This window comes from Homo sapiens, chromosome 7 (genome assembly GCF_000001405.40).
Source record: "Homo sapiens chromosome 7, GRCh38.p14 Primary Assembly".
In the NCBI taxonomy this organism is placed as follows: Eukaryota; Metazoa; Chordata; class Mammalia; order Primates; family Hominidae; genus Homo; species Homo sapiens.
Genome location: NC_000007.14, coordinates 39,958,047 through 39,984,420, shown reverse-complemented (window position 1 = coordinate 39,984,420; position 26,374 = coordinate 39,958,047). Strand labels below are relative to the sequence as shown.

Genomic DNA, 26,374 nt, shown 5'->3' with positions numbered 1-26,374 from the left:
TTTTTTTTTTTTGAAACAGGGTCTCACTGTCACCCAGGCTGGAGTGCAGAGATACTACCCACAGCTCACTGCAGCCTCGACTTCTTGGGCTAAAGCAATCCTCCACCTCAGCTTCCTGAGTAGCTGGGACAACAGGTGTGCGCCACCATGCCCAGCTAACTTTGTAGAGACAGGGTCTCACTCTGCTGCCCAAGCTGGTCTTGAACTCCTGGGCTCCAGGGATCCTCCTGCCTTGGCATCGCAAAGTGCTGGGATTACAGGCATGAGCCACCGTGCCTGGACACTGAAAATTTCCGTTCTTAGTTGACATTAATACAGTGTGGAGGGAAGTGTTTAGAAACATTCTAATTCTAGGACAAAAACAAAATGATGATTAGGTTTAGGATAAACTCAAACACAAATTCAACATCTACCCCCCTCTTTCAAAAACAAGTATGTGCTTTGGGTCAACTAAGGTTCAGTATTGAGGAAGCATTTCATAAAAACCCACACTTTAATATCAATAAGCTTATAATTATACATAGAAATGAGAAGAAATGTTTGGCTAAATATGAAGTGATTGTAAGCTGGTTGTGAAATAACTTGGTTAACTTTAATATAGGAACCAAAAGTGTCATAACATGAAATACTCAGCCACATTTTTAATTTCCTCTCCCTTCAGATTTTGTTGGAGCTCCAAACAAGTCTGATATACGTCATGTTTCTATCCCCTGATCAGATACTGATGAGTAGCAGAAAGGTAAGCAGCAGAAGAAAGCAGTGTAGGAAATCAACTTTTCCTACACTGGCAAGATTCTGGTCATCAATTTCATTCAGACACATAAACTATATTTAATTGAAATTTACAATCAGTGAATCTTATCTAAGAAAAGAGATACAAAGATAATAGGTAAAATCCCAACACAATTCATTCTTCTGAACTATTAATCTCTTTTAGACAGAATCTGAATAACAGAGATAAAGACTCAGAAAACTTTTGTTCTATATAAAGATATTTTGGGGCCGGGCGCAGTTGCTCACGCCTGTAATCCCAGCACTTTGGGAGGCTGAGGTGGGCGGATCACGAGGTCAGGAGATCAAGATCATCCTGGCTAACATGGTGAAACCCCATCTCTACTGAAAAAACAAGCAATGGGGAAAGGATTCCCTATTTAATAAATGGTGCTGGGAAAACTGGCTAGCCATATGTAGAAAGCTGAAACTGGATCCCTTCCTTAAACCTTATATAAAAATTAATTCAAGATGGATTAAAGACTTAAACGTTATACCTAAAACCATAAAAACCCTAGAAGAAAACCTAGGCATTACCATTCAGGACATAGGCATGGGCAAGGACTTCATGTCTAATAAAACACCAAAAGCAATGGCAACAAAAGCCAAAATTGACAAATGGGATCTAATTAAACTAAAGAGCTTCTGCACAGCAAAAGAAACAACCATCAGAGTGAACAGGCAACCTACAACATGGGAGAAAATTTTCACAACCTACTCATCTGACAAAGGGCTAATACCCAGAATCTACAATGAACTCAAACAAATTTACAAGAAAAAAACAAACAACCCCATCAAAAAGTGGGCAGAGGATATGAACAGACAATTCTCAAAAGAAGACATTTATGCAGCCAGAAGACACATGAAAAAATGCTCATCATCACTGGCCATCAGAGAAATGCAAATCAAAACCACAATGAGATACCATCTCACACCAGTTAGAATGGCAATCATTGAAAAGTCAGGAAACAACAGGTGCTGGAGAGGATGTGGAGAAATAGGAACACTTTTACACTGTTGGTGTGACTGTAAACTAGTTCAACCATTGTGGAAGTCAGTGTGGCGATTCCTCAGGGATCTAGAACTAGAAATACCATTTGACCCAGCCATCCCATTACTGGGTATATACCCAAAGGACTATAAATCATGCTGCTATAAAGACACATGCACATGTATGTTTACTGCGGCACTATTCACAATAGCAAAGACTTGGAACCAACCCAAATGTCCAACAATGATAGACTGGATTAAGAAAATGTGGCACATATACACCATGGAATGCTATGCAGCCATAAAAAATGATGAGTTCATGTCCTTTGTAGGGACATGGATGAAACTGGAAATCATCATTCTCAGTAAACTATCACAAGGACAAAAAACCAAACACCGCATGTTCTCACTCATAAGTGGGAATTGAACAATGAGAACACATGGACACAGGAAGGGGAACATCACACTCTGGGGACTGTTGTGGGGTAGGGGGAGGGGGGAGGGATAGCATTAGGAGATATACCTAATGCTAAATGACGAGTTAATGGGTACAGCACACCAGCATGGCACATGTATACATATGTAACTAACCTGCACATTGTGCACATGTCCCCTAAAACTTAAAGTATAATAATAATAATTAAAAAAAAAGAAAAAAAGAAGAAAAAAGAAAAAATACACAATAGTGAAAAAAAAAAAAATTAGCCGGGCGTAGTGGCGGGCGCCTGTGGTCCCAGCTATTTGGGAGGCTGAGGCAGGAGAATGGCATGAACCCGGGAGGCAGAGCTTGCAGTGAGCCGAGATTGTGCCGCTGCACTCCAGCCTGGGTGACAGAGCGAGACTCCGTCTCAAAAAAAAAAAAAAAAAGATATTTTGGAAGCTACTTTTTATAGTATTTGATCACTATATCAACTGAATTCTTCTACATACAACTTCCGTTCCTCTCCAACTCTTTTATTTCTCTACAAAAGTTCCTTCCTTAAACTATTTATTTCGTCTTAGTAAGTTTCCATTCTCTCAGATATTGTGATTTGCTAATAAATTCCAAAAATATATTTACTGTTTATAACAAACATGGTTTGGGAACCTAAAACTAAACAAATTTCAGTTTAGGCCATTTTTACTAATGATTAACATTTCAGCCATAAAAAGTTATGAGAATAAGAGAGAAGTGCATCTTTAAAACTATATAATGAATTATGGCATGATAATGTTTTACTAAAAGAACTGAAATGGAGGTAGGTAGCAGGTCCAACCTCCTTGTTTAATAGATAATTTTTTTTTTTTTTAAGACAGGGTCTCTCACTTTTTCGCACAGGCTGGAGTGCAGTGGCGCAAACAAGGCTCACTGCAGCCTTGACCTCTGGGGTCAAGTGATCGTCCCACCTCCACCCCCCAAAAGTAGCGGGGACTACAGGCGCGCACCACCACACTCGACTAATTTTTGTATGTTTTGCAGGGATAGGGGTTTCGCCATATTGTCCAGGCTGATCTCAAACTCCTGGACTCAAGTGATCTGTCCACTTTGGCCTAGGGTTACAGGCATGAGCCACTGCACCCAGCCAAGATTTTTCTTTCTAAAAATGTTTTCCTAATATTCCGACACTGTTGTAGAAATTAATGAATACATATTACCTGTTTCTTGCTTGTGATGTTTTTAAGAGGCTACAGGACCTCTTTAAGAAGAGAACTTTCTATGTTTCTAACAGGTTTTCCCAAATACACACAACACAAAGTAGTACCAGAATAAAAACCCAGTATCCTGAAACCCAACTGGTTAGTGCTCGTTGTTAGACTATTTAGTGTTCCTTGGAGAGCAATGTATATTGTTCACTTGACTATTATCTCACAGTTTCTCCAGGAGTCTAGGTCTTCTGAAAATTATTTCTAATTAGCAAATACTGTGTCCTAAAAATTTTACTGTAATACTGATAATATCCAGTCCTCCACTGTTGAAAATAACACAGAGCAGCATCACTCAATGGAACTTTCTGGATGACAGAAATGTTCTATACATATGATGCCCAATACAGTAGCTGCTATCCACAACATCTTTGAGGCCAATGTTTCCACTCTGCTTATTTCTCATGCTAATAGCAGCTGTGTCCATTTCAAAAACTTATTAACCCCCCCAAAAAGGTATGAATATGACTCCCAAACTGAAAATCACTATATAAAGTGATGATCCTGTGTATTTTGTCATGTAACGTTATTATAACAGCTCTATTAACTATATGTAACAGCACTGTGGTAGCCTCTTAAATTCATCTCCTTGTTTCAAATTTTCTTCCACTCTAATCTATATTACTAGACGCAAAATACTATTCTCACCAGTTCCTGAAATTATGACTTGCAAAGCAAATATACCCTCCTGTAACATCTACTCCTTACCATTCTCTATTTTTAATTTCACTACTCTCCACTCATTTACCCAGGCTAGAAATCTAGTTTCCCAGTTCCCATACCACAACCTCTTAATTGTCTCATTTTACTGATTCTAACTCTATACTATTCCCTTATATCCATACCCTCTGAATGTGTCTGATCGTTGTTGTAACAGAAAACTCCACAAAGTCAGCAGTTTAGAACAACACAAATTTATTTTCTTGCAGTTCTGCATGTCAGAAGTCCAAAATCAGTCTCAGTGAACTAAAATCAACATGTCACCAGAGCTTTGTTCCTTCTGGAGTCTCTTGGGAAAATGTTCCCTTGCCTTTTCCAGCTTCCACAGGCTGTCTACATTCCTTGGCTCAAAACCTTACATCACCTGGGCCTCTACTTTCATCATGACATTTTCTCTCTCCTATTCCTGTCATCACGTGAGTTCTCTGACTAGACCCTACAGCCTCTCTTTTATAAAAATCCTTGTGATTACACAGGACCCATCCAGATAACCCAGAATAACCCCGCCATATCAACATACTTAATTTAATCATATCTACGAAGTTCCTCTTAAAATGTAAGGTGTAACAGTCAGAGATTGAAAAGATTAGGGCATGGCACCTGGAGGGGGTGTGGTGTTGGGTGAGTATTATTCGGCCTACCACATCCTCCTCTTCCATTCTCGAGGACACTGTTCTACTTTAGACCTCATTACCACTTCCCTAGAGTACCATATCATCTTAAAAAAATAAGCAATCTCTTGGCCACGTGTGGTGGCTCAGACCTGTAATCACAGCACTTTGGGAAGCCGAGATGGGCAGATCACCTGAGGGCAGAAGTTCGAGACCAACCTGACCAACATGGAGAAACCCTGTCTCTACTAAAAATACAAAATCAGACGGGTGTGGTGGCGCATGCCTGTAATCCCAGCCACTTGGGAGGCTGAGGCAGGAGAATCGCTTGAACCTGGGAGGCGGAGGTTGCGGTGAACCGAGATCATGCCATTGCACTCCAGCCTGGGCAACAAGAGCGAAAACTCTGTCTCAAAAAAAAAAAAAAAAGAAAAAAAAGAAAGAAAAAAATCTACGTTACTAGTCTTTTTTACTTTATTACTAGTCTGTGTCTGCTCCATTTCTACAGACACCATAACCAAACTAATCCTCACTGTTCAGCGATTATTACATGTCCCAAATTCACTCATTTTCCTCCTCTTAGTAGCTATTCCAAACTTTCACAACTTTCATCAAGCTCACACAATCCCATTCCTAGTCTTCTCATAGCATAGCTTTACTTATTGTTTCACAGAAAAAAACAAAGACTACCAGGCATGTCTCTTGCCTGCAAATTTAATCTGTATTTCCTGTGCCTTCATCCACCGTACACTCCACCTCAATTAAGAAAGGAGGTGTTCCTCTTTCTATCTAAGGCTAACTCCCCTATAATGCATCAATCTCATACTCTCTAGAGCCTTACTTCTTAGAGTGTAGTCCATAGACAGGCAGCATCAGCACCAATTGTGAGCTTGTCAGAAATGCTGTGTCTCAGACTCCAGCCCAGACCTACTGAACCACAATCTGCATTTTAACAAGATATCCATTAAAGTCTGAGATGCACTATGCTAGGCTACTCTATGACAATAGCTGGCTTACTCTATTAATTGTGATGTTAACCTTTGCTGTTCATTTGTTAATTCCCCTGAAGGAATAAATTACTCAAATCTCTAAGATATTTAAAAACAGACAAGAAAACAAAACAAAGAGAAAATGATGACATACTGATATTATCTTTATCTGTCCTTCCAGTTACGGCCAAAATCTCTTTTGTCCTTTCAATCCTCAAATCACTACAATCTGGCTTATACATACATCCATTCTGCAACTGGTCACCTCTGAAGCAACCAATGACCTACCTTTCAAAAAAAGAAAAAGAAAAAAACGTCACTGTCTGTGATAATGTTGGCTACAACCTTAAAAGTCTCTCTCTGCTGCAATTATTTGGAGCACTTCCTAGCTATTTCTACTACCTTTCATCTTCATGATTTTCTTACTTCTATGGCTGTTTCCGCACCTTGAGGTTTTTCTTCCTTCCTATATTCATTCTCCCACAAGTTTAATTTATGCTATGTGTGGCTTAAATGATTACCTAAATGTTGTCAATTCGTCCCCCATCACCCCCGCAAATCATCCTCTCTACTTCCAACTCTGACATGTATCTTCAACACAATACAGCTAAAACTATTAAGCTTCCTCTTCAAATCCACCCTCCTTCTCCTTAAATACACCCTATTCTGAGGCAGTGGCACCCTCTAAAACAGCAGAAACCTGGAAATTATTCTACATTCCACATGATCTCTTTTATCTCTTCTCACAGATCTATTTGGTTTCCAAGCTCCACCAATTCTACATCTCAAGCATCTCTCCATTTTTCCATGCTCTTTATCCCCATAGCTACTATTCCACATTAGGTACTACATCATCACACACTGGGCCCAGTGCAAGTCTCCCTACCAGGTTCCCACCTCGAGTCTCCACCCTTTCCAATTAACTCTGCACTTGAATAATCTTTCAGTTACCCCAAAGCCTTCGGCCCTGCTTGACTTGCATATAAAGTCCTTGTCCAGCCATCACAAAATATAGGAAGTGTCAGGCCTAGAATGTTTCTCTCATATTCCTCTCTTCACCTCCTTTATGTAGGAAACAAAAGGATACTTCGTATCTCAGCACAGTGTTTACCACCTTTATAAAGCCCTCTCTTATTACGCCAGTCAGCTAGAGCTGGTACTTGTCCTACGATCCCATCACAATTCTGTTTATATCTCAGAATAAAAATAATCAGATAATCTATCTTCCCCAACTAAACTGAGATATTCTATCCTCAAGCCTTGACTTCTATCATAAACCTAGCAGTGGTAGATGCTCAATAAATATTTACACAATTAAAGACACTGCTGATAGTATTCCTATTGAAAAGAATTCACAGCAGCCTAGTATCAAGGTACTGCATAATTTGTCTGGTCCTAACCTACCTTTGCTTATCAAGTACTAAATTTGCCCAATACTTCCATGCCTTTATATTCCCACATACTGGCCTAGTGAGAATATCATCTTGCCCTCCATCTTCTATTCAAGGCTTATCCATCTCTCAAGGACTAGCATAAAGGACTTCATAAAGCCTTATGAAGAAAGAAGCCAAATCCAAACAAGCAGCACGGTCTCCATTCTATGAACTCCCATAGCATTTTATCTGCACCCTTCTTATGATAACTCTTAACTTCACATTTTAGATATCAACCACATTGTCTATCAGACTGCACCCTCTTTGAGGAGCAGAAACCGAGTCTAATTCATTGTTGTATCACTCCACAGCCCCTAGCATAATTCAGTGTTTTATTCACTGAATAAAACAAATACCGTACAGCAGTCCCCTCGTCCTCAATTTCACTTTCCATGGTTTCTCTTATGCAAGGTACGGTATAATAAGATATGTTGAGAGAGACCCTACATTCACATAACTTTTATTTTAGGGTATTGTTATAATTGTTCTATTTTATTATTGTTGTTAATCTCTTACTGTGCCTAATTTATAAATTAAACTTTATCACAGGTATGTATGTATAGAAAAAAACATAGTATATTTAGAGTGGAGTACTATTTTGGTGGTTTCAGACAACCGCTGGGAGTATTAGAATATATGCCCCATGGAAAACTGGGGACATGACTGTATACCACACTAACCCTCACAGGTTCACATTTATAAGCATTTTTCATTTGATTTGCTCCTCATGTGCAACCAAGGTATAGAGAAAGCAGATGGGGGAACTAAGAAGAGGCAGAGTCAATATTCAAACCCAAGTCTTTCACTTCAAAGCCAAGCACTATTTATTGCTACCACACTATCTCTTTCTCCTCCATTTGTTTCTGTGTGTGTGTGTGTGTGTGTGTGTGTGTGTGTGTGAGAGAGAGAGAGAGAGAGAGAGAGAGAGAGAGAGACGGAATCTCGCTCTGTTGCCCAGGCTGGAGTGCAATGGCATGATCTCGGCTCACTGCAACCTCCGCCTCCCGGGTTCAAGTGATTCTCCTGCCTTAGCCTCCCAAGTAGCTGGGATTACGGCACCCACCACTACACCCAGCTAAATTTTGTATTTTTAGTAGAGACGGGGTTTCACCATGTTAGGCTGGTCTCAAACTCCTGACCTCAGGTGATCCGCCCATCTCGGCCTCCCAAAGTGCTGGGAGTACAGGTGTGATCCTGTTTAATTCTTATCTATTTTGCATGGGTCAAGCTAAAGTCTCATCTCTATCACTTCCCTATTTGCTGATCACACAGTACTTGTTACAGGTTGGCTTGTATTTTATGTCTTTGTCTTTTAAAAACATAAATTGGATTATGCCATGTCCTTGCTTAAAACTCTGTAGTGGTTTCCAACTGCATTTAAAATAAAAATAAAACTCTGTGTTGTGACTCACAAGGCCTAAACCGCCTTCCATCTTTATTATACCCTTCTTTATTTACCAGACTCCAGCCATGCTGGTCTCCTTTCTGCTTTTGCAGAAGGTCAAGCTTCTTCTTGACTTGGTGCCTAAGCATGCATCATTTTCTTTTCCTGGGATGCTTAGATCATCACATGGCGGGCTCTCTCTCATCATTTCAACATTAATGCATACATTATTCATTATAAAACACTGTTCAAATGTTTCTGTACACATGGTATATGAGAAACCAATGTGGCAATCATTACACACATACTACAAAATAGGAGATTTCCTTTTTTCATGGCCCCTAGAATAGTAATGAATACTTATATTAATATATGCTCACATATAGGGGTCAAACAAGGTATTTGAGGGGTTTTTTTTGTTTTGCTTTGAGACAGGGTCTCACTCTGTTGCCCAGGCTGGAGTGCAGTGGTGCAATCTTGGCTCACTGCAGCCTCAACCTCCCAGGCTCAAAGCGATTCTCCTGCCTCAGCCCCTCAAGTAGATGGGACAAGTGCACACCACCAGGCCCGGCAAATTTTTGTATTTTCTGTAGAGACAAGTTTTTGCCATGTTTCCCAGGCTAATCTCAAACTCTTGGGTTCAAGTGACCCTCCTGCCTCGGCCTCCCAAAGTGCTGGGATAACAGGTGTGAGCCACCATGCCCAACCCAGAATTTTTTTTACACCAGAGCTTAAGACTTTGAGAGAAACAAAGTCTTTTTTTTTTCCTGACTTCTGCAATGACTTGGAATCAAAGTCATTATTTTTATTAAAAAATAAAACTAGCCATTTATGACGAATCTGCAGCTAACTACTTTGCGAATAAAGACTAAATGAGGAACAAGACAAGAAAGTCCCTTCTCATTCCTCTGTTCAACATTGTATTTGAGGTTCTAGCCATTGTAATTAGTCAAGGATAAGAAATAAAAGGAATTCCGGCTGGGCACTGTGGCTCACGCCTGTAATCCCAGTACTTTGGGAGGTCAAGGTGGGTGGATCACCTGAGGTCAGGAGTTTGAGACCAGCCTGACCAACATGGCAAAACCCTGTTTCTACTAAAAATACAAAAATTAGCCAGCCATGGTGGCACTCACCTGTAATCCCAGCTACATAGGAGGCTGAGGCAGGAGAATCACTTGAACCCAGGAGGCAGAGTTGCAGTGAGCCAAGACCGTGCCACTGCACTCCAGCCTGGGTGACACAGCGAGACTTCATCTCAAAAAACAAAAAAAAAAAAAAAAAAAGAAAAAAAGAAAACAATCCCATTGCAATAGCCTTTAAAAGGATGAAATACCTAAAAGTTTAAAAAGTGCAAGGCTTATACCCTGAAAACTACAAAACACACTAAAAAATATTAAGGAAAATCTAAATAAAAGGAAAGACATCCCGTGTTCACGTATTAGATGACTTAAATTGTTAAAAGGTAATACTCCCTGGCCAGGCGCGCTGGCTCATGCCTATGATCCCAACACCTTGGGAGGCCAAGGCAGGAGGAGCGCTTGAGCCTAGGAGTTCAAGACCACCCTGAGCAACATAGTGAAACCCTGTCTCAAAAAGAAAAAAAAAAAATTAACAAGATAATACTCCCCAAATTAATCTAAAAAGTCAATGTATTGCAGTTCTGTAGTGATGAAACAAAAAATTTTTAAAATCAATGTACTCCCTATCAAAATCCTAGCTGCTTTTTTGAACTAACTGGCAAGCTGATTCTAAAATTCATTTGAAAATGCCAAGAACCCAAACAGTCAAAACAATCTTAAAAAAGACCTAAGTTGGAAGATTCACACTTCCTGATTTCAAAAATTACTGCAAAATCAGAGTAAGCAAGACTGTGTGGTACTGGCATACGGACGGATACATAAATCAATGGAACAGAATTCAGAGTACATAAATAAATCCTAACATTTGTGATCAGTTGATTTTCAACAAGGGTGCTAAGACAATTCAATGGAAAAGGAATACTCTTTTCAACAAATGGTGCTGGGACAACTGTATATCCACACACAAAAGAATGAAGCTAGACCTCTTCCTTTCACCATACAAAAAACTAACTGAAAATGGATCAAAGTAGGAGCTATAACTATAAAATTTTTAGAAGAAAATGCAGAAAATCTTTGTGAACACAGATTAGGCAAAGCCTTCTTAGATTTGAGACCAAAAAACACAAGCAATAAATAATAAATTGGACTCCATCAAAATAAAATACTTTTGTGCTTTAAAAGACACCATCAACAAAGTGATAGAATGAAAGAAATTATTTGTAAATCATGTATCTGATAAAGGACTTACATCTAGAATAGACAGTATAAAAAACTCTTAAGATCCTATAATAAGACGACAGCCCAATTTAAAAATGGGCAAAGAAGGCCAGGCATGGTGTCTCATGCCCATAATCCCAGCATTTGGGGAGGCCAAGGTGGGAGGATTGCTTGAGCTTGAGTTTGAGACCAGACTGGGCAGCACGGCAAAACCTCATCTATACAAAAATACGAAAAAATTAGCCAGGTGTGGTGGCGTGTACCTGTGGTCCCAGCTGCTCAGGAGGCTAAGATAGGGAAATTGTTTGAGTCCTAGAGATGGAGGCTGCAGTGAGCCAAAATTGTGCCACTGCACTTTAGCCTGGGCAACAGAGTGAGACCCTGTCTCAAAAAAAAGAGGGGGTAGTGGGGGTGGACAAGAGATTCATGTAGACATTTCTCAAAAAAAGATTTTGGCCATTTCTCAAATGGTCAAAAACACATGAAAAGATGCTCAACTTTATTTGTCATTAGAGAAATGCAAATCTAAACCAAAATGTGATCCCACTGCAAATACCAAGATGGCTACAATCAAAAAGACAACTCTTGTTGAGGATGTGAAGAAACTGGAACCCTCATATGTTGCTGATATGAATATAAAAATGATGCAGCTACTTTAAAAAACAGCTTGACAGCTCTTTAAAATCTTAAACATAGAATTATCATATGACCCAGCAATTCTACTCCTAGATATATGCTCAAGAGAAAAACAAATGCTCATGCAAAAACTTGTACACAAATGTTCATAGCAGCATTAAAAAAATAGCCAAAAAGTTAACCCAAAGGTCCATGACTAATGATAAAATGTGGCATAACCATACAATGGGATATTTGGCCAATAAAAGGAATATTGATCCATATACTACAACACAGATAAACCTTGAAAACATTATGCTTTAGTGAAAGAATCCAGCCATAAAAGATCATACATTATATGATTCCACTGAAATGAAATATCCAGCATAGGTAAATCTACAAAGACAGAAAGAAATCACCAACCGTTGGTTGCCAAAACTGTGGAATGTGGGAATGGGGAGTGACTGCTAAATAGCCATGGAGTTTCTCTCTGGAGTGACTGAAATATTCTCAAATTAGTGGTTACACAAAGCTATGAAGAGACTAAAGACTAATAAATTATAGTTTAAAACAGTAACTGTACAGTATGTGAAATACATTTCAATAAACATGTTATTTTTAAAACTAGAAAAGATAACATAAAACTGAAATGTTTTGTGTTTATTCTAAAAATACACTTCCTTTATGGTTCTTATGCCATATTAAAAGTAACGACAACAACAACAAAAAGACACGTGGCTGACTTTTTGCAGATTTGCTCAAGCAAACATGTTCTAGTCCACTGAGCATAAATTCTGTGTTTGTCTTCATGTTTCCCTGAACCATGCCTTGATATGTATTTTTGAAGACAGAAAATGAAAAGCAGGTGAGAAGAGTAGAAGGGAGCTCAGTACTTGACATGCACAAAAGCACATACTTTGATTAGTCTCTCTGTAGCCATCAAGAATTTGTTCAAAGTGTATTACCAGACCTTATTAATATCAACAGAATTTTTCTAACCGTGTGGGGCTGGACCTTTTTTTGTTTTTTTTGTTTTTCATTTTTTGTCTTTTTGAGATGGAGTCTTGCTCTGTTGCCCAGGCAGTGGTGCAATCTCAGCTCATTGCAAGCTCCACCTCCCAGGTTCAAGTGATTCTTCTGCCTCAGCCTCCCAAGTAGCTGGGACTATAGGCGCCCGCCACCACGTCCGGCTAATTTTTGTATTTTTAGTAAAGACAGAGTTTCACCATATTGGCCAGGCTGGTCTCGAACTCCTGACCTCGTGATCTGCCTGCCTTGGCCTCCCAAAGTGCTGCGAGCCACCACACCCAGCCTGGACCTCTTTTTTTTTTTAATCCAAAGCAATTTATGCTGAAGGAATAGTTTGCTAGAAAATACAAAGTGTTTTTTTTGTTTTTTGTTTTGTTTTTTTGAGACCGAGTCTTACTCTGTTGCCCAGGCTGGAGTGTAGTGGCAAGATCTTGGCTCATGGCAACCTCCGCCTCCTGGGCTCAAGTGATTCTCCTACTTCAGCCTTCCGAGTAGCTGGGATTACAGGTGCACATCACCACACCCAGCTAGTTTTTGTACCCTTAGCAGAGATGGGGTTTTGTCATGTTGGCCAGGCTAGTCTTGAACTCCTGGCCTCAGTTGATCTGCTGCCCTAGCCTCCCAAACTGCTGGGATTACAGGCATGAGCCACCACACCCAGCCCTAGAAAATAAAATTATAAAACAAGACAGGCAATTTAATCTCACTTGCTAGGTACCTACTATCAAATGCTGTACTAGGTGCTTAAGAACCACAAATATTTAAAAAGTCACAGGACTTGAAATCCAATGGTTGAAGCAAAACCAAAATATTACAGAAATTTATCAGCTAGAAATGCAACAAGTCAAAATATTAAGGAAAAAATTTCAGTTTAGGATTCCACACCCAGTAAAACAATCTTTCAAAATGGAGACTTTATCAGACATAGAAAAAGCAGACCTACATAATAAAAAATGTTCAAAGCCATTCCTCCAGCCAGAGGAAAATGATACTACATGGAAAGTTGGATCTGTAAAAAGGAAAAGCATTTGAAAAGGTAAACATTTGAGTAAATATAAGTGCCTCTTCTCATTTTAAATTTTATGTCTGTATTTAACACACATACACCATGCAAACAGACATAAAACAGATGACAACAGGCCAGGCGCAGTGGCTCATGCCTGTAATCCCAGCACTTTGGGAGGCTGAAGTGGGTGGATCACTTGAGGTCAGGAGTTCAAGACCAGCCTGGCCAACAGGGTGAAATCCCAGCTCTACTAAAAATACAAAAATTAGCTGGGCGTGGTGGCACATGCCTGTAATCCCAGCTACTGGGGAGGCTGAGGCAAGAGAATTGCTTGAACCTGGGAGGCGGAGGTTGCAGTGAGCCAAGATCATGCCATTGCACTCCAGTCTAGACGAAGAAGTAAGACTCCGTCTCAAAAAAAAAAAAGATGACAACAGTACAAAAGACAAGATGAAAATGTAAGTATGCTATCATAATGTTAACATTATACATAAAAGTAGACTGAGAAACATGCACATTATAAGCCTAAGGAGAAAATATCTGTTACTGTGGGTTAGGCAAAAATTTTTTTGGACATAAAATGCATAAATCTGGCCGAACACAGTGGCTGGCTCACGCCTGTAATCCCAGCACTTTGGGAGGCAGAAGCAGGTTGAGGTCAGGAGTTTGAGACCAGCCTGGCCAACATGGTGAAACCCTGTCTCTACTAAAAATACAAAATTTAGCTGGGCGTGATGGCACATGCCTATAATCCCAGCCACTCAGGAGGCTGAGACACGAGAATCGCTTGAACCCAGGAGGCGGAGGTTGCAGTGAGCTGAGAACATGCCTGGGCGACAGAGTGAGACACGCTGTCTCAAAAAAAAAAAAAAAAAGCATAAATCACACAAATGCTAAACTGGTTTTTCATTAAAATTTAAAACGTTTGCTCTTGGAAATTACTGTTAGGGAAAGTGAGCCACAGACTGAGGAAAAAACGTTTGCAAAACATTTATTTGTATCTAGCATATACACAGAATTCTTACAACTTTAGTAAGACAACAACCCAATTCATGAAGAATGAACATTTTGAGACACTTAGCAAAAAATAGGAAGGGCAAATAAACATATGGAAGTATACTCAACATTACTTATCATTAGGGAATTGCAAATAAAACCACAATGAGATACCAATACACATCCACTAGAATGGCTAAAATCAAAGACTGACAAAAAAAAAAATAAGTCTTATTGAGGAGGTGAGGCATCTGGAATCCCATACTCTACTGACTGGAATGCAAATGGCAAAGACATTTTGAAAAACACCATGGGACTGTAGGAAGTCAAGCATTCGCTTCCCATACAACAACACAGCAAACCCTCTCCTAACTTATTCAAGAGAAACAAAAACAAAAGACCTGTACTCAAATGTTCAGTAGCTTTGCTCATAACAGCCAAAAACTGGAAATAACTCAAATGCCTACCAACTGGGTAAACTGGATGTAATAAGTACTCACAAAGTGATCTCAGTTCTAAAGGTATTTTTAAAAATCACTTCTGAACGAGATTAATGAAGACTTCATAGATAAAAATAACACCTGAGGCTAGGTGCCGTAGCTCATAACTGTAATCCCAGCACTTTGGGAGGCTGAGGCAGGTGGATCACCTGAGGTGAGGAGTTCGAGACCAGCTGGCCAACATGGTGAAACCCTGTCTCTACTAAAAATACAAAAACAACTAGCCAGGCGTGGTGGTGTGTGCCTGTAATCCCAACTACTTGGGAGGCTGAGACAGGGGAATCGCTTGAACCTGGGAGGTAGAGGTTGCAGTTAGCTGAGATCACACCACTGCACTCCAGCCACAGAGCGAGGCTCCATCTCAAAACAAACAAACAAACAAACAAACAAAAAAACCCACCTGAACTAAGGTTGAAAGAATGAGCAAGCCAGACTGGCAAACTGAAGGAAGGATACAAACTAAGATATAAGAAAATAGTAAACAGTCCAGTTTGTATTGTGATCAGGATATACGGTAAGAAGTAAGAGTAGTTTGGTTCAGTCTGTGTTGGGGGTCTTAAATGCCCCATTCAAGACTCTGATTCAGTGGAATACTCAAACCCTCAAAAGATCCCAAATGGCCAAAGCAATCCTGAGCAAAAAGAACAAGGCTGGAGGTATCCCACTACCTGACTTCAAAGTTTATTCCAAAGCTATGTTAATCCAAAGAGTATGGTACTGGCATACAAACAGAGACATTAACTGAAGGAACACAATAGAGAACCCAGAAATAAACCCATTTATAGTCAACTGATTTTTGGCAAAGTAGCCAAGAGCATACAGTAAGAAAAGGACAGCCTCTTCAATAAATGGTGATGGGAGTGAGGCACAGTGGTGCATGTCTGTAGTCCCAGCTACTGCAGAGGCTAGGCGGGAGGACTGCTTGAACCTAGGAGTTCCAAGACCAGCCTTGGCAACACAGCAAGACCCTGTGTCTTAAAAATAAACAGGGGTGGGAAAACTGGATATCCACATGGAGAATAATGAAAATAGACTCTCATCTCACACCTTATACAGTAGAAAGGAGAAGAAAAGCTCCATGACATTAGTTTGGGCAAAGGTTTCGTGGTTATAAACCCAAAAGTACAGGGAACAAAAACAAAAATAAACAAAGGGATGGAATCAAATTAAAAAGCCTCTGCAAAGCAAAGGAAACAATGAAGTAAAGTGACAACCTGTGGATAAGGAGAAAATACCTACAAACCACATATCTGATAACACATTAATATTCAAAATATATTAGCAACTCAAATCAACAGAAAGAAAATAACCCAATTTCAAAAACGGGCAAAGGACCTAAATAGACATTCCTCAAAAGAGGGAATACAGTTGGATTTGGTGATTAGTGCTTGAATCCCAGCTACTTGGGAGGCTGAAGTGGGTGAGGTGGGAAGACTCCTTGAGCCCAGGAGTTTGAGACCAGCCTGGGCAACATAGCAAGATCCCATCTCAATTTTTTTTTTTAAAAAGGACATACAAATGGCCAACAGATACATGAAAAAATGCTCATCATCATCAATAATCACCAAGGAAATGCAAACTAAAACCACTATGAGATACCACCTCCCACCTGTTAGAATGGCTAGCATCAAAAAAATGAAAGATAACAAGTGTTGGCAAGTGTATACAGAAAAGGAGACCCTTGTGCACTGCTGGTATGAATGTAAATTACTATAGCCATCATGGATAATGGTATGGAGGTTCCTCAAAAAAGTAAAAACAAGATTACCACATGATCCCACTTCTGGGTATATACCCAAAGGAACTGAAATCAGTATGCTTAGGAGATGTCTCCACTCCCATGTTCATTGCAGCATTATTCACAATAGCTCAGATATGGAAGCAACCTAGGTGTCCATTGTTAGATGAACGGATTTTTTTTTTTTTAATGTGGTTCAGGTTTGTTTTTTGTTTTATTTTGTTTTTGAGACAGGGTCTCACTCTGTTGCCCAGGCTGGAGTGCAGAGGCGTGGCGCGATCTCAGCTTACTGTAGCCTTTACCTCCAGGGCTCATGCAATTCTCCCAGTTCTGCCTCACAAGTATCTGGAACTACAGGTACATGCCACCATGCTGGGCTGATTTTTCTGTATTTGTAGAGAAGAGATTTCACCACGTTGCCAGGGCTAGTCTCAAACTCCTGAGCTCAAGCGATCTGCCCACCTCAGGCTCCCAAAGTACTGGGATTACAGGCGTGTGCCACTGCACTCGGCTTAGCTTTAAAAAGAAGTAAATTGTGGTTCTCCCAGCACGCAGCTGGAGATCTGAGAACAGACAGCCGGCCTCCTCAAGTGGGTCCCTGAACCCCGAGTAGCCTAACTGGGAGGCACCCCCGAGTAGGGGCAGACTGACACCTCACACGGCCAGGTACTCCTCTGACACAAAACTTACAGAGGAACGATCAGGCAGCAACATTTACTGTTCAACAATATCCGCTGGTCTGCAGCCTCCGCTGCTGATACCCAGGCAAACAGGGTCTGGAGTGGACCTCCAGCAAACTCCAACGGACCTGCAGCTGAGGGTCCTGACTGTTAGAAGGAAAGCTAACAAGCAGAAAGGACATCCACACCAAAACCCCATCTGTACATCACCATCATCAAAGACCAAAGGTAGATAAAACCACAAAGATGGGGAAAAACAGAGCGGAAAAACTGAAAAATCTAAAAATCAGAGCGCCTCTCCTCCTCCAAAGGAACGCAGCTCCTCACCAGCAACGGAACAAAGCTGGACAGAGAATGACTTCGACGAGTTCAGAGAAGAAGGCTTCATTCAGACAATCAAACTACTCCGAGCTAAAGGAGGAAATTCGAACCCATGGCAAAGAAGTTAAAAACCTTGAAAAAAAATTAGATGAATGGCTAACTAGAATAACCAACGCACAGAAGTCCTTAAAGGACCTGATGGAGCTGAAAATCAAGGCACAAGAACTACGTGATGAATGCACAAGCCTCAGTAGCTGATTCGATCAACTGGAAGAAAGGGTATCAGTGATGGAAGATGAAATGAAGCAAGAAGAGAAGTTTAGAAAAAAAAGAATAAAAAGAAACGAACAAAGCCTCCAAGAAATATGGAACCATGTGAAAACACCAAATCTACATCTGATTGGTGTACCTGAAAGTGACAGGGAGAATGGAACCAAGTTGGAAAACACTCTGCAGGATATTATCCAGGAGAACTTCCCTAATCTAGCAAGGTAGGCCAACATTCAGATTCAGGAAATGCAGAGAACGCCACAAAGATGCTCCTCGAGAAGAGCTACTCCAAGACACGTAATTGTCAGATTCACCAAAGTTGAAATGAAGGAAAAAATGTTAAGGGCAGCCAGAGAGAAAGGTCGGGTTACCCACAAAGGGAAGCCCATCAGACTAACAGCTGATCTCTCAGCAGATACTCTACAAGCCAGAAGAGAGTGGGGGCCAATATTCAACATTCTTAAAGAAAAGAATTTTCAACCCAGAATTTCATATCCAGCCAAACTAAGCTTCATAAGTGAAGGAGAAATAAAATCCTTAACAGACAAGCAAATGCTGAGAGATTTTGTCACCACCAGGCCTGCCCTACAAGAGCTCCTGAAGGAAGCACTAAACATGGAAAGGAACAACCGGTAAGAGCCACTGCAAAAACATACCAAATTGTAAAGACCATTGAGGCTAGGAAGAAACTGCATCAACTAATGAGCAAAATAACCAGCTAACATCATAATGACAGGATCAAATTCACACACAACAATAATAACCTTAAATGTAAATGGGCTAAATGCTCCAATTAAAAGACACAGATGGGCAAATTGGATAAAGAGTCAAGACCCATCAGCATGCTGTATTCAGGAAACCCATCTCACGTGCAGAGACACACATAGGCTCAAAATAAAGAGATGGAGGAAGATCTACCAAGCAAATGGAAAACAAAAAAAGGCAGTGGTCGCAATCCTAGTCTCAGATAAAACAGACTTTAAGCCAACAAAGATCAAAAGAAACAAAGAAGGCCATTACATAATGGTAAAGGGATCAATTCAACAAGAGCTAACTATCCTAAATATATATGCACCCAATACAGGAGCACCCAGATTTATAAAGCAAGTCCTTAGAGACCTACAAAGAGAGACTCCCACACAAAAATAATGGGAGACTTTAACACCCCACTGTCAACATTAGACAGATCAACGAGACAGAAAGTTAACAAGGATATCCAGGAATTGAACTCAGCTCTGCACCAAGCTAACCTAATAGACATCTACAGAACTCTCCACCCCAAATCAACAGAATATACATTCTTTTCAGCACCACACCACACCTATTCCAAAATTGACCACATACTTGGAAGTAAAGCACTCCTCAGCAAATGTAAAAGAACAGAAATTATAACAAACTGTCTCTCAGACCACAGTGCAATCAAACTAGAACTCAGGATTAAGAAACTCACTCCAAACCGCTCAACTACATGGAAACTGAACAACCTGCTGCTGAATGACTACTGGATACATAACGAAATGAAGGCAGAAATAAAGATGTTCTTTGAAACCAACGAGAACAAAGACACAACATACCAGAATCTCTGGGACACATTCAAAGCAGTGTGTAGAGGGAAATTTATAAGCACTAAAGCCCACAAGAGAAAGCAGGAAAGATCTAAAATTGACACCCTAACATTACAACTGAACTAGAGAAGCAAGAGCAAACACATTCAAAAGCTAGCAGAAGGCAAGAAATAACTAAGATCAGAGCAGAACTGAAGGAAATAGAGACACAAAAATCCCTTCAAAAAAAAAAAAATCAATGAATCCAGGAGCTGGTTTTTTTAAAAGATCAACAAAATTGACAGACCGCTAGCAAGACTAATAAAGAAAAAAGAGAGAAGAATCAAATAGATGCAATAAAAAATGATAAAGGGGATATCACCACTGATCCCACAGAAATACAAACTACCATCAGGGAATACTATAAACACCTCTACGCAAATAAAGTAGAAAATCTCTAGAAGAAATGAATAAATTCCTGGACACATACACCCTCCCAAGACTAAACCAGGAAGAAGCTGAATATCTGAATAGACCAATAACAGGCTCTGAAATTGAGGCAATAATTAATAGCTTACCAACCAAAAAAAGTCCAGGACCACATGGATTCACAGCTGAATTCTACCAGAGGTACAAGGAGGAGCTGGTACCATTCCTTCTGAAACTATTCCAATCAATAGAAAAAGAGGGAACCCTCCCTAACTCATTTTATGAGGCCAGCATCATCCTGATACCAAAGCCAGGCAGAGACACAACAAAAAATAGAATTTTAGACCAATATCCCTGATGAACATCGATACAAAGATCCTCAATAAAATACTGGCAAACCAAATCCAGCAGTACATCAAAAAGCTTATCCACCATGATCAAGTGGGCTTCATCCCTGGGATGCAAGGCTGGTTCAACATATGCAAATCAATAAACGTAATCCAGCATATAAACGGCACCAATGACAAAAACCATATGATTATCACAATAGATGCAGAAAAGGCCTTTGACAAAATTCAACAATGCTTCATGCTAAAAACTCTCAATAAATTAGGTATTGATGGACGTATCTCAAAATAATAAGAGCTATGACAAACCCACAGCCAATATCATACCGAATGGGCAAAAACTGGAAGCATTCCCTTTGAAAACTGGCACAAGACAGGGATGCCCTCTCTCACCACTACTATTCAACATAGTGTTGGAAGTTCTGGCCAGGGCAATCAGGCAGGAGAAGGAAATAAAGGGTATTCAATTAGGAAAAGAGAAAGTCAAATTGTCCCTGTTTGCAGATGACATGATTGTATATCTAGAAAACCCCAACATCTCAGCCCAAAATCTCCTTAAGCTGATAGGCAACTTCAGCAAAGTCTCAGGATACAAAATCAATGTACAAAAATTACAAGCATTCTTATACACCAATAACAGACAAACAGAGAGCCAAATCATGAGTGAACTCCCATTCACAATTGCTTTAAAGAGAGTAAAATACCCAGGAATCCAACTTACAAGGGATGTGAAGGACCTCTTCAAGGAGAACTACAAACTACTGCTCAATGAAATAAAAGAGGACACAAACAAATGGAAGAACATTCCAAGCTCATGGGTAGGAAGAATCAATATCATGAAAATGGCCATACTGCCCAAGGTAATTTATAGATTCAATGCCATCCCCATCAAGCTACCAATGACTTTCTTCACAGAATTGGAAAAAACTACTTTAAAGTTCATATGGAACCAAAAAAGAGCCCACACTGCCAAGTCAATCCTAAGCCAAAAGGACAAAGCTGGAGGCATCACGCTACCTGACTTCAAACTATACTACAAGGCTACAGTAACGAAAACAGCATGGTACTGGTACTAAAACAGAGATATAGACCAATGGAACAGAACAGAGACCTCAGAAGTAATGCCGCATATCTACAACCATCTGATCTTTGACAAACCTGACAAAAACAAGAAATGGGGAAAGGATTCCCTATTTAATAAATGGTGCTGGGAAAACTAGCTAGCATTATGTAGAAAGCTGAAACTGGATTCCTTCCTTACACCTTATACAAAAATTAATTCAAGATGGATTACAGACTTAAATGTTAGACCTAAAAGCCTAGAAGAAAACCTAGGCAATACCATTCAGGACATAGGCATGGGCAAGGACTTCATGTCTAAAACACCAAAAGCAATGGCAACAGAAGTCAAAATTGACGAACGGGATCTAATTAAACTAAACAGCTTCCACACAGCAAAAGAAACTACCATCAGAGTGAACAGGCAACCTACAAAATGGGAGAAAATTTCTGCAATCTACTCAAGTGACAAAGGGCTAATATTCAGAATCTACAATGAACTTAAACAAATTTACAAGAAAAAAACAACCCCATCAAAAAGTGGGCGAAGGATATGAACAGACACTTCTCGAAAGAAGACATTTATGCAGCCAAAAGACACATGAAAAGATGCTCATCATCACTGGTCATCAGAGAAATGCAAATCAAAACCTCAATGAGATACCATCTCACACCAGTTAGAATGGTGATCATTAAAAAGTCAGGAAACAACAGGTGCTGGAGAGGATGTGGAGAAATAGGAACACTTTTACACTGTTGGTGGACTGTAAACTAGTTCAACCATTGTGGAAGTCACTGTGGCAAATCCTCAGGGATCTAGAACTACAAATACCATTTGACCCAGCAATCCCATTACTGGGTATGTACCCAAAGGATTATAAATCATGCTGCTATAAAGACACATGCACATGTATGTTTATTGCGGCACTATTCACGATAGCAAAGACTTGGAACCAACCCAAATGTCCAACAATGATAGACTGGATTAAGAAAATGTGGCACATATACACCATGGAATACTATGCAGCCATAAAAAATGATGAGTTCATGTCCTTTGTAGGGATATGGATGAAGCTGGAGACCATCATTCTCAGCAAACTATTGCAAGGACAAAAAACCAAACACCGCATGTTCTCACTCATAGGTGGGAATTGAACAATGAGAACACATGGACACTGGAAGGGGAACATCACACTCTGGGGACTGTTGTGGGGTAGGGGGAGGGAGGAGGGATAGCATTAGGAGATATACCTAATGTTAAATGATGAGTTAATGGGTGCAGCACACCAACATGGCACATGTATACATATGTAACTAACCTGCACGTTGTGCACATGTACCCTAAAACTTAAAGTATAATTAAAAAAAAAAAAAGAAGTAAATTATGTCATTTGTGACAGGAAGATAAATACTGCATGATCTCACTTATATGTGGAATCTAGAAAATTCAAACTCATAGAAGTAGGGAGTAGAATGGTGGTTACCAGGGTCTAGGGGAGAGGAGTGTATAGGGAAAGGGAGATGTTGATCAAAAGACACAAAGTTTCAGATAGACAGAAGTAATAAATTTTAGCGATCTATTGGGCAGAATGGTGACTACAATAATGCACTGCATATTCTGATACTGACAAAACAGTAGTTTTTTTGTTTGAGACAGAGTCTTGCTTTGTGCCCAGGCTGGAGTGTCGTGGCGAGATCTCGGCTCACTGCAACCTCTGCCTCCCAAGTTCGAGCTATTCTGCTGCCTCAGTCTCCCGAGTAGTTGGGGTCTACAGGCACACGCCACCATGCTTGGCTATGTTTTGTATTTTTAGTAGAGACGGGGTTTCGCCATGTTGGCCAGGCTGGTCTTGAACTCCCGACCTCAAGTAATCCATCCACCTTGGCCTCCCAAAGTGCTGGGATTACAGGCGTGAGCCACTGTGCCCAGCCAAAGAGTAGAGTTAAAATGTTTTCTTCAATGGCTGTTTCGAGCTGTGTTAAAAAAAAAATTATTTTAAAAATGTTTTCACCACCAAAATAGGTATGTGATGTGACTGATTTCTTAATTATCTTGATTGAAGCCCTCCACAGGTAAACACCAAAACATCACACACATAAACATATACAATTATTTGTCAATAAAAAATAAATTGGCCGGGTGCGGTGGCTCACGCCTGTAATCCCAGCACTTTGACAGGCCAAGGTGGGCAGATCACCTGAGGTCAGGAGTTCGAGACCAGCCTGGCCAACATGGCAAAACCTCATCTCTACTAAAAGTACAAAAATTAGCCAGGCATGGTGGCAGGCGCCTGTAATTCCAGCTACTCAGGAGGCTAAAGCTGAAGAACAGCTTGAACCCAGGAGGCGTAGGTTGTTACAGTGAGCCGAGATCACGCCACTGCACTACAGCCTGGGCGACAACAGTGAGACTCCATCTTAAATAAATAAATTAATTTTAAAAGCATCTGATGGCCAGATGCGGTGGCTCATGCCTGTAATCCCAGCACTTTGAGAGGCCAAGGCGGGCGGATCACGAGGTCAGGAGATTAAGACCATCCTGGGTAAAATGATGAAACCCCGTCTCTACTGAAAACACAAAAAAAATTAGCCAAGCGTGGTGACGGGCGCCTGTAGTCCCAGCTACTCGCGAGGCTGAGGCAGGAGAATAGTGTGAACCTGGGAAGCGGAGCTTGCAGTGAGCCGAGATCATGACACTGCGTGCCACTGCACTCCAGCCTGGGTGACAGAGCGAGACTCCATCTCAAAAAAAAAAGTATTTGATTCTGTAAGTATCTTATAGAAAAAAAAAAATGATCAAATGAAAGTGGTATTTTAAATCTGAATGCAGAGAACAGGAGGGGCTCAAAGAGAAATCTAAAAGCAAGCAGAACTAACAAAGCATTCCAAGATAAATGTATGGACCAAAAGACCACTGGAAAAAAAAAAAAAAGAAAAAACTTTACAGAACAAGAAGTTCATTACAACTATGAAGAGATAAAAGTACTACTAAAGTTTGACACTAGGTACCTGGGAGAAACTACTACCACTTAAAACACACGTGTGCACACACACACAGAGACAAATCAAAAACCTAGTCCTAAAATAAAACGTTACATAAAGAAGGTTAAAAGATAAAAGACAAGCTCACGAAAAATACTTGCTAATGCCGCAAAAAAAAAAAAAAACAAGTTAGTAGCTATAACACACAAGTAGGTCTTGCAAGTTAATTTAAAAAAAAAAAAATCAAGAAATTAGAACATCTGGCCAGGTGCAGTGGTTCACACCTGTAATCCCCGCACTTTGAAAGGCCAAGGCAGGCAGACTGCTTGAGCTCAAGAGTTCGAGACCAGCCTTGGCAACACGGTGAAACGCTGTCTCTACCAAAAATAAAAAATTTAACTGGGCATGCTGGCATGCATCTGCGATCCCAGCTACTCGGGAGGCTGAGGTGAGAGATCACTTGAGCTGGGAGGTGGAGGTTGCAGTGAGCAGATGGTGCCACTGCACTCCAGCCTGGGTGACAGAGTGAGACCCGGTCTCAATTAAAAAAAAAAAAGAAAGAAAAAGGCCAGGCACGGTGGCTCACGCCTGTAATCCCAGCACTCTGGGAGGCTGAAGCGGGTGGATCACCTGAGGCCAGGAGTTCGAGACCAGTCTGACCAACATGGAAAAACCTCGTCTCTACTAAAAATACAAAATTAGCTGGGCATGGTGGCGCATGCCTGTAATCCCAGCTACTCGGAAGGCTGAAGAAGGAGAATCGCTTGAACCCGGGAGGCAGAGGTTGCGGTGAGCCGAGATCGCACCATTCCAGCCTGGGCAACAAGAGCAAAAAAAAAAAAAGAAAGAAATTAAAATATCCAGTAAACAGATGAAAATATATTAAACCTTATTAAATATCAAAGAAATGCAAATGAATGAAACGATAATGGTGCCAGGCACCAATAGGGGCTCACAACTATAATCCCAGCACTTTGGAAGGCCAAGGTGGGCAGATCATTTGAGGTCAGGAGTTCAAGATCAGCCTGGCCAACATGGCAAAACCCCATCTCTACTAAAAATACAAAACAACAAAAAAAACCAATAATGGAATATGTGACAACTCCAAGTGTTGGTGAGACTCAGGAAATGGGTAATTCCACACTGTTGGGAAATGTAAATTTGTAAAAGCCTTCTGAAAGGCATTTTGAAAGTGTATCAATGTTACAAATGTATATACCACCTTTGCCTCAAAAATTTTATCCCCAGGAAATTCAATCTAAAGATAATGGAACAAATACACAAAAAAAAATTTGCTTTAGATATACACACATAGCAAAAATTAAAAAAAAAACAAAACTAAGAATTTATCAAAGTGGATTCAGCCAAACAATTTATGCTATATCCATACAACAGAATACTAGGAGCTACTAATAAAAATGGTATGCTGTACTGTGGAGTACAGGCTACAAGACAGCATTGTTACATGTTCCCGCTTATGGAAAAATCATACATCCCTGTGCATATATGCATAAAAAAGTCTAGAAAAATATTTATCAAAATGTCATGAGTGATCATCTCATCAGGTAGCTGGACCTAAGGGGCCTTTTAATCTCTTATACTTTTCTATACTAACGGAAAATTTCTACCATTAGCCTCTATTATGCTTGCAAACAGGTGAAAAATAATAAAGAGCAGTAACAGAAAAAAAATGACTCTAAGAAAGGTGAAATAATTTAATGTTAGGTAAATTGAGTTTGGAATGCCAATAAAATATCCCAGTGAAAGTGCCCCTATGCAACTGAAAATGCAAACAGAAAAGCAGGGAGGCGTGTAGATCATTTACCATTTTCGGTTCCTCTCACTAACCTCATTTCCATTTTACTTACATTCCAGTTTTACCTATATTTATCCTCTAATGTACATCAATTTTACTTTCCAAATACATAAAAAACACTAGGTTCTTCCACAATTTAAATGTGCAGGAATTCAAGGAACAAA

At 40.2% G+C, this 26,374-nt stretch overlaps 1 protein-coding gene across 5 annotated transcripts in view, besides 2 other annotated features; it reads right to left on the bottom strand.

Annotated features, from left to right (window-relative positions):
- Positions 1-26,374, bottom strand: part of CDK13 (cyclin dependent kinase 13) — a 149,325-nt gene that overhangs the window by 115,160 nt on the left and 7,791 nt on the right. The gene's annotated exons all lie outside the window — the stretch shown is intronic.
- Positions 5,415-6,159: an enhancer, noted in NCBI's record as "OCT4-NANOG hESC enhancer chr7:40017861-40018605 (GRCh37/hg19 assembly coordinates)". NCBI's record gives its function as "activates a minimal SCP1, AML or CMV promoter by ChIP-STARR-seq in primed H9 embryonic stem cells {active_cell/tissue: H9 hESC(primed)}" and the evidence as "EXISTENCE:reporter gene assay evidence [ECO:0000049][PMID:30033119]".
- Positions 8,392-8,892: an enhancer, noted in NCBI's record as "H3K27ac hESC enhancer chr7:40015128-40015628 (GRCh37/hg19 assembly coordinates)". NCBI's record gives its function as "activates a minimal SCP1, AML or CMV promoter by ChIP-STARR-seq in primed H9 embryonic stem cells {active_cell/tissue: H9 hESC(primed)}" and the evidence as "EXISTENCE:reporter gene assay evidence [ECO:0000049][PMID:30033119]".